The following is an 8,831-nucleotide window of genomic DNA, read 5'->3' as shown; positions in this document are numbered from 1 at the left end:
CACTAAGGGCTTATGTATTATGATATAAAAGGAAAGTTTTAAATGTCATAACCTTTACCGAAAAATAATATTTAATATATTATTTTGTTATTTCTTCTTATTTATTTATTTATTTATTTATTTATTTATTTAGAGACAGAGTTTTCACTTTTGTCACCCAGGCTGGGGTGCAGTGGTGTGATCTTGGTTCACTGCAACCTCCGCCTCCTGGGTTCAAGCGATTCTTCAGTCTCAGTCTCCCTAGTAGCTGAGATTACAGGCCTGTGCCACCACGCCCGGCTAACTTTTTGTATTTTTAGTAGAGATGGGGTTTCATCATGTTGGCCAGGCTGGTCTTGAACCCTTGACCTCAAGTGATCTGCCCGCCTTGGCCTCCCAAAATGCTGGGATTACAGGCGTGAGCCATCGTGCCCAGTTATTTATTTTTTTAAATATATTAAAGACTCAGATGCAGGCTTACCTTGGAAAACTTGTTAATATTTGGTCAAACTTTCATTTGAGGGCATCTATTTGACAAATATTCACCACTGTCAGTGTAAAACAAGCAGTTTTGAATAGTCCATCTTAAAACTTCTTACTGGCTTAATCACTGTCCCCTTTAGGGAAATGCCTTAGCTTACTGAGTGGTAATCTAAGTTACCTATCATTCGTGTACGGTAGTGAAATAAAATATTAATTTTACATAAGTACCAATCGTTTTCTGAATTAACTTTTTTTTTTTGATTCCTGGCTCTGTTGAAGGATACCGATGAATTAAGCTAAAAATATTTTGGCCAAGAACTCACCCTGGCATTTGTAAAATTCAAATAACCTAAGATCTCTAGTGTTTTCTACACTATAGCATGAGTGCTATTTTGGGTCTTAAAATGGTAGATAGAAAGTATTGATGATGTAGCCCTCAGGAGATCCTTCCTGACCTTGCTTTTCAAAGTAACCTGGTTTACTCTGGGATAAAAATAATAACAAATTTTGGAGGCAACTCTTGTAAATGTTAGGGTTTTTAAAATAGGACATTTTCCCTATTTATGTAATTTTCTTGATTTAGCGCAATATCTGTTTCCATGAGACAGTGAAAAAAAAACCCTAATCTGTAATTACATTTGAATCCCAAATACCATGGATGTAAAAAGACATTCCTTTCACCATTATTATTATTATCTTACTAGACAGAAAACATAAGAGCTCCACTAGAGCCAAGGTGGCTGAAATACTTGGTGTTCTTCTCTCATAGCTGGATGTAGCTGTCCAACCTGTTTCAGCATATTTGTGTCACTTGTTTTTTATTCTTCTCATTCCCACTCCAGAATCATAGTATATTTAGAAAACACAAGAAAACAGTTTGGAGAGCATTATAGGCTTGTGATTAGATACGCTGTCTAGGAAGCTAGGTGGGTGGGCCCAGGCATTGTTTAGGAGCCCAGGAAGTTAGAGAGCCTGAGCGCTCACAGGCTGGCTTCTCAGCCCTCATGAGACTAAGAAGCTTGCACCACTGCGCTAAGAACCAGACCAGTAAACTGAGCCTACATTCCTCACAAGAAGGAACTTCAACTTACCTGAAGCAGCATCCATCGCTCCAATTGGCCTCAGGTAGACATCTCCATGGACCCCCAGCTGCTGTGTCCCAAGCAGGGCTGTGAGTTGTGCCCGACCACCTCCAGCATTACAGCAAGAGTTCCTGCCTGAACACAAGGTGTGGACAAGTGAACGGGTGTAACACTTCCAAGGGGGTGGAGGGTGGTGTGAGTGTCACTCCTGGCTCTTCATATCTACTACAAGAAATACGGGCATCAACAGAGGCTGAATCAGAGTGATATGGCTATCTTACCTACTGGGTGATGAATACCATCAATAATTTCTCATTCAAATTTTGCCATTGTTGTAAAAAAAAAAGATTCAAGAGTTTCTAATGCATGGCTATATTCACTTACTTTTCCATGATTCTATGTTAGTTTTGTTTTTCTAATGATTCATTAACCAGTACCGATATGGTTTTTAATGACAAGGTTTAGTTTAGAAACACTTTTCATTGGCTAAACATTGTTGTTTTGAATAATTTTATAATAAGAATAATAAAAATGTTTACTTCTGGTTAGTTTTCATTTCCCTGGAAATGTTTCACTGTAAGTCTTATGCCCTTTAGTTATGACCACTTTGAAAATTACAACCTAATTACTGACTTCTCTCCTAAATTGAAATTCAGCGTCTCAGTGCATACTTGTGCCTTCCTTAGAATGTTCTCTAGTTCCTTGACACCCAGGCTTTACCTACGTAGTCAATTCAGTCTCTTACCACTTTACATATCTTAAACTCCAATTAAAGGGAATAGAAATCACTAAGAGTTTTATAGCAGATTGTATCTCAGAGACGCTCCCAAGAATAAACATTATCCTATTTATTTCTCATTTAAAAAATTTGAAGACCCTTAATTATGACCAATATTCAGAAGAACATAAATATTAGATAAACCACTATAAACTACAAAATACATAAAATGATAAATAAAAATATATAAAATGATAAATATTAAATAACCTGGTATAAATTACAAAATACATAAAATTTACAGTCAAATACTAAAGTCTTATTAATGGACTCTGTTCATTATTCCAAAAGAAAATAATACTAGTGGCTCAATTGTCTTCTGTAGACATTGAAGGAAAATAAGGATTGTTATGGACTGAATTGTGTTTCCCCCAAAGTGGCTGTGTTTGGAGATTAGGCCATTAAGATGGTAATCCAGGTAAAATGAGATCATAGGAGTGGGGCCCTAGTCCAAAGCACTAGTGTCTTTAGAAGAAGAGGAAGCCACACCAGAGGATCATCCTCACAGAAAAAAGGCCATGCAAGGACACAGTGAGAAGGTATTCTCTGCAAGCCAAAGAAATAAGCCTCAAATAAAACCCAACCTGTTGACAGCTTGAACTTGGACTTCAGGCTCTAAAGCCATGAGAAAATAAGTTTCTATTTATTAAACCATCAAATCTATGGTATGTTATTATGACAATCCTAGCAAACTAATACAAGTGTGTCTTAGCCTGTTTTCTGCTGCTATAATAGAAAACTACAGACCAAGTAATTTACAGACAGAAGTGATTTGCTATTTCTCCCAGTTCTGGAAGGTGGAAAGTCCAGGAGTATGATGCTGGCACCTGGGGACGGTCATGGCCAGAGGGTGGAAGGTAAAAAAGAGCACACAACACAAAGAAAGCAAATGAAGGCCAATCTTATATTTTCACAGTGCTCCCTCTCCTGCCATAATGGCACTAATCCATTTATGGGGGCAGAGACCTCATGACGCTGTCACCTCCCAAAGGCCCCTCCTCACTACTGGTGCAATGGCAATAAGGTTTCCAACATGCAAACTTTGGGGGCCATATTCGAGCCACAACAAAAGACGTAAACATTTGAAACGAAAAATAAATGAACCAATAAGTATCAATGTGTAAGTGATAAGCTTGTAGCTCAAGAACGCCCTGGTGTGCACTACATTCTTGCATTCTCTAAAACAGATTCTGGAACTTCCTTTGTGAGAACAATTTGCCCTCTTGGAGAGATCTTATTTTTGCCCATAAATCTTCTCATTCTATTCACCCTTTACCTCACTGTAGCATTATCTTCCACCCCATCGCCTTATCTACACTCACCAAGGTAACTCATAGCGTCAACTATTAATTTTATGACATTATAACCTATAATAATTAAAATTAAACCTTTACAGTCAAATACTAAAGTCTTATTAATGGACTCTTCATTATTCCAAAAGAAAATATTAATTTTATGACATTATATGTATGTGTATGTATAAAATTTCACTATTTCTTTTCTTGTATTACATGATGTTGTTGTGGCATATGACATTATTTTCCAATGCTTTTCGATACAGTTTTGCCCAAGGCAAGTACCTCTGCTAAACAACGACTGCCTCTGCCTTCTAGTGATTGTCTGTGTCCCTGGCTCCTCATGACAGGTTCATTTCTACCTGCATGGGAAGTACGGGGCACCTCACTTAAATCTGTCACTACATAATCAACACTTCCTGGCGGTGCCCTGATACACATGGATCCTCCATCTGGAACAAAATTTTCCCTAGTCACTACAGGAGAACCTTGCTTTATTATACTCTGCTGTATTGTGTTTCACAGGTATTGTGGGGATTTTTTTACCAACTGAAGATTTGTGGCAACCCTGTTGTCAAGCAAATACATTGGTACCATTTTTCCAACAGCCTGTGTTCACTTCATGTCTCTGTCATATGTTGGCAATTCTCACAATATTTCAAACTTTTAAATTACTATTATATCTGTTATGGTATCTGTTATGGTGATCTGTAGTCAATAATCTTTGATGTTATTATTCTAATTGTTTAGGGACACCACAAACCACACCCATGTAACATAGCAAGCTTAATAGATAACTGTTCTGTGTTCTGACTACCCCACTGACAGGGTCTTCTCCTGTCTCTCTGCCTCTCCTCGAGCTTTCTTATTCCCTGAGACAGAAAAATATGAAATTTAGATCACTTGATAACCCTACATTGACCTCTAAGTGTTCAAGCAAAAGGAAGAGTCATTCATCTCTCACTTTAGTCAAAAGCTAGAAATGTTTAAGCTTAATGAGGAAGGCATGTTGAAAGTTGGGACACGCCAAAAGCTAAGCCTCTTGGACAAACAGTTAACCCAGTTGTGAATGCAAGAATAATTTCTATTTTTTTGAGACAAAGTCTCGCTCTTGTCACCCAGGCTGTAGTGTAATGGCGTGATCTCACTCGCTGCAACCTCCGCCTCCCAGGTTCAAGCGATTCTCCTGCCTCAGCCTCCTGAGTAGCTGGGATTACAGGCACACGCCACCATGCCTGGCTAATTTTTGTATTCTTAGTAGAGACGAAGTTTCACTGTGTTGGCCAGTCTGGTCTCGAACTCCTGACCTCAGGTGATCCACCTGCCTCAGCCTCCCAAAGTGCTGGGATTACAGGCATGAGCCACTGTGCCTGGCAAGAATAATTTCTGGAAGAAAATTAAAAGTGCTACTCAAATGAACACACAAATGTTAAGAAAGTGAAACTGCCTTACTGCTGCTATGCAGAAAGTTTTAGTGGTCTGGATAGAAGATCAAACCAAACACAACAGTCCCTTAAAACAAAGCCTAATTCAGAGCATGGTTCTAAAACTCTTCATATCTATGAATCCTGAGAGAGGTGAGGAAGCTGCAGAAGAAACGTTATGAAGCTAGCAGAGGTTTTTTAATGACGTTTAAGAGAATAAGCGATCTCCATAACATAAAAGTGCAAAGTGAAGCAGCAAATGCTGATACAGAAGCTGCAGCAAAGTGATTCAGAAGATCTAGCAAAGATAATTGATGAAGGTGACTACGCTACACAACAGCTTTTCAATGTAGATGAAATAATATCTCTTGAGAGAAGATGCCATCTAGGACATTCATAGCTAGAGAGGAGATGCCAGTCCTTGGCTTCAAAGCTTCAAAATCTATCCAACTCTCTTGTTAGGGGCAAATGAAGTTGGTCACTTTAAGCTGAAGTCAATACTCATTCACCATTCTGAAAATCCTAAGGCCTTTAAAAATATGCTAACTCTACTCTGCCTATGCTCTATAAATGGAACAAAAACCTGGATGACAGCACATCTGTTACAGCATGATTGACTATATATTACAAGCCCACTATTGAGACTTACTGCTCAGAAAAAGAAAAGATTCCTTTCAAAATATTATTGCTCATTGATAATGTACCAGAATACCCAAGATATTTGATGTAGATGTGCACTGGTGATTAACATTGTTTTAGTGCCTGGTAACACAACGTGCATTCTGCAAAAAATTGATCAAGGGTGCATTTTTGACTTCCAAATTTTTTATTTAAGAAATACATTTCATAAGGCTATAACTGCTGTACACAGTAATTCTTATGATGGGTCTGGGCAAAGTAAATTGGAAACCTTCTGGAAAAGATTCACCATTCTAGATGCCATCGAGAACATTCGCAATTCATGAAAGGATGTCAAAATGTCAACATTAACAGGAGTCTGCATGAAGTTGATTCCATCTCTCATGGATGTCTTTGAGGGCTTCAAGACTTCCATGGAGAAAGTCACTGCAGATATGGTGGAAATAGCAAGAGAACTAGAATTAGAGGTGGAGGCTGAGGATGCAACTGAACTGCTGTAATCTCATGACAAATCTTTGATGGATGAGAAGTCTCTTCTTAAGGATGAGCAAAAAAAGTGATTTCATGAGATGGAGTCTACTCTTGGTGAAGACATTGTAAACATTGTTAAAATGGCAATACAGGATTTAGAATATTATATAAACTTAGTCGATAAAGCAAAACAGGGTTTGAGAGGATCAAATCCAATTTTGAAAGTAGTTCTATGGTAGGTAAAATGTTATCAAACAGCAACGCATGCTACAGAGAAATATTTCGTGAAAGGAAGAAACAATCAACTTTATTGTTGTCTTATTTTAAGAAATTGCCAAAGTCACCCCAGTTTCAGCAAACCATCATCCTGATCAACCAGCAGTCATCAACACCAAGGTGAGAGCCTCCACCAGGAAAATGATTATGACTTGCTGAAGTCTCCCTTCATTATTCACATAATTTAGCAATGAAGTATTTATAATTGAGATGTGTAGACAGTTTTTTTGAACATACCGATTTTGCACACTTAATAGATTGCAGTGTAGCATAAACATAACTTTTGTATGCATTGGGACACCAGAAATGTATGACTAGCTTTATTGTGAAGTTGGCTTTGTTGCATTGGGTGGCAATGTCTCCCAGGTGTGCTTGCAGTTGCCCCGCATGCTTCAACTGCTTTTCTTCTATGCCATCATTGAGCACGTTTTCTTGGCTAATGAAAGCCAAGTGGAGATCTCAGGAGCTGAGCTGGCCCTTCAAAGGCTTTGTACCCCCACATTGAATGTGGGCTCTGCTTAAGGAGAGGGAATGAGGGCTTCTGTCCCAGACAAGTAGTCTCCCCAGATCACCACAGCACCCACTTCAGTCAGCAAGGGGTGAGCCCAAGAGTAGCCTCTCACATTTGGATGGGAGATGTCCATCCAGGGAAATAAGAAACAAGTAGAACATTTTGTTAAGTCTTGTGAATTTTTCTTGGAAATTTTCAAAAATTAAGAAGATTAAAAAAAAGTAAATGACTGAACTTCCAGAAGTTGAATGTAATCTAATTCAGAAGATTTCATAAGCATAGCAAAAGGAAGAGTGACATCTGAGGCCCTGAAAACCTAAAGAAACACAAAGGGTATCTTACTGAATTCAGTTATAATCGTGACCAATGATTTTAATACTTTACCTTCTTTCCAAAAACATCCAGGATTCTGAGGGAACTGAAGCCTTTTATTTTGTTTTATGTATTTATTCATTGTTATTTTGGAGGTGGAATTTCCAAAAGTAGGGCTACAAAAATGTTGTTTTAGCAAAATTTACAAAGTTACTGTACCATGTGGACACATTGTGAATTACACTGTACAAGAGGCCACTGCGTACATATAAGCTTCACGAGACTTTGTGGCAAATGCACTCTCCAAGTACAGGCAGATTCTATCAAGGTCATTCACAGTTAAATCTTATGCCGTATAAACCTTTTCAAGTGATAATATTTTCCCTTTTTAGTCGCTCCCCTTAATAGTTATAATGCTGTGCTTTCTAATTTTTATGGCATTTTTGCTGCTTCTTTCTGCCTCTTTAAATCATTTTTTTTTCCTTCATGGCTCAGTTAAATCTCAAGTGTTCTTTGAAACTTACATTTATCATTTAGTTTTCATTTGTTTCTCATGCCCATAACACTGATAGACTATTCTACAACATGTCTGACATTTTTTTTTCTCATTTGGTACAACATTACCTCCCATTTTCTTCTTCTAACTGGACAAAATGTAGAAAATATATATCTGGTTTATTTTCTCTTATTTCCCCCAATTTCCCAAAGCCTAGAATGTACACCCAATATATAACAGGCACTCAATGCATGTGCACTGGTGGAAAGCTTTTCAAAATCAGCTTCCCTGTAACTACTGGCTTGTTTGTTTGTTTGTTTTCATTAAATATCCTATGCCTCAGGCTGAGCATGGTGGCTCATGCCTATAATCGCAACCGTTTGAAAGGCTGAGGTGGGTGGATTGCCTGAGCTCAGGAGTTCAAGACCAGCCCAGGCAACATGGTGAAACTCTGTCTCTACAAAAAAATGCAAAAGTTAGCCGGGCATGGTGGCACATGCCTGTAATCCCAGCTTCTGGGGAGGCTGGGGCAAGAGGATTGCTTGAACCCAGGAGGTGGAGGTGCACTGAGCCAAGATTGTGCCACTGCACTCCAGCCTGGGCAACAGCGCGAGACTCCAGTCTCAGGAAAAACAAAAACAAAAACAAAAACAAAAAACAGTAGGCTTGGGGCCGTGGCTCACGCCTGTAATCCCAGCACTTTGGGAGGCCAAAGCAGGTGGATCATGAGGTCAGGAGATTGAGACCATCCTGGCCAACATGGTGAAACCCAGTCTCTACTAAAATACAAAAAATTAGCTGGGCATCGTGGCACATGCCTGTAATCCCAGCTTCTTGGGATGCTGGGACAGAAGGATCGCTTGATCCAGGAGGTGGAGGTTGCAGTGAGCTGAGATTGTGCCACTGCTCTCCAGCCTGGGCAACAGAGCAAGACTCCAGTCTCAAAGAAAAAAAAATAAAGAAAATCATACGTCTCAATATGGTGCCTATATAAATAATCTATATTAGCTACTTATTGCTACTTTTATATTTCAAATTTTAAGCCTACAATTTAATAGTATTCTTGTAGTTTACCTTCATTTCAA

At 38.7% G+C, this 8,831-nt stretch overlaps 1 long non-coding RNA gene across 1 annotated transcript in view; it reads right to left on the bottom strand.

The window, feature by feature from the left end:
* Window positions 1-1,557: 1,557 nt before the first annotated feature.
* The window catches only part of LOC107985179 (uncharacterized), a 191,915-nt gene continuing 184,641 nt past the window's right edge, over window positions 1,558-8,831 (bottom strand). The window contains exon 3 of the long non-coding RNA XR_001753502.1: window positions 1,558-1,679. This is a non-coding gene — a long non-coding RNA (uncharacterized LOC107985179). The remainder of the gene's footprint in view (window positions 1,680-8,831) is intronic.

This window comes from Homo sapiens, chromosome 18 (assembly GCF_000001405.40).
Source record: "Homo sapiens chromosome 18, GRCh38.p14 Primary Assembly".
In the NCBI taxonomy this organism is placed as follows: domain Eukaryota; kingdom Metazoa; phylum Chordata; class Mammalia; order Primates; family Hominidae; genus Homo; species Homo sapiens.
Note: the sequence above shows the minus strand (reverse complement) of the source record. Positions and strands in the feature narration are given on the sequence as shown.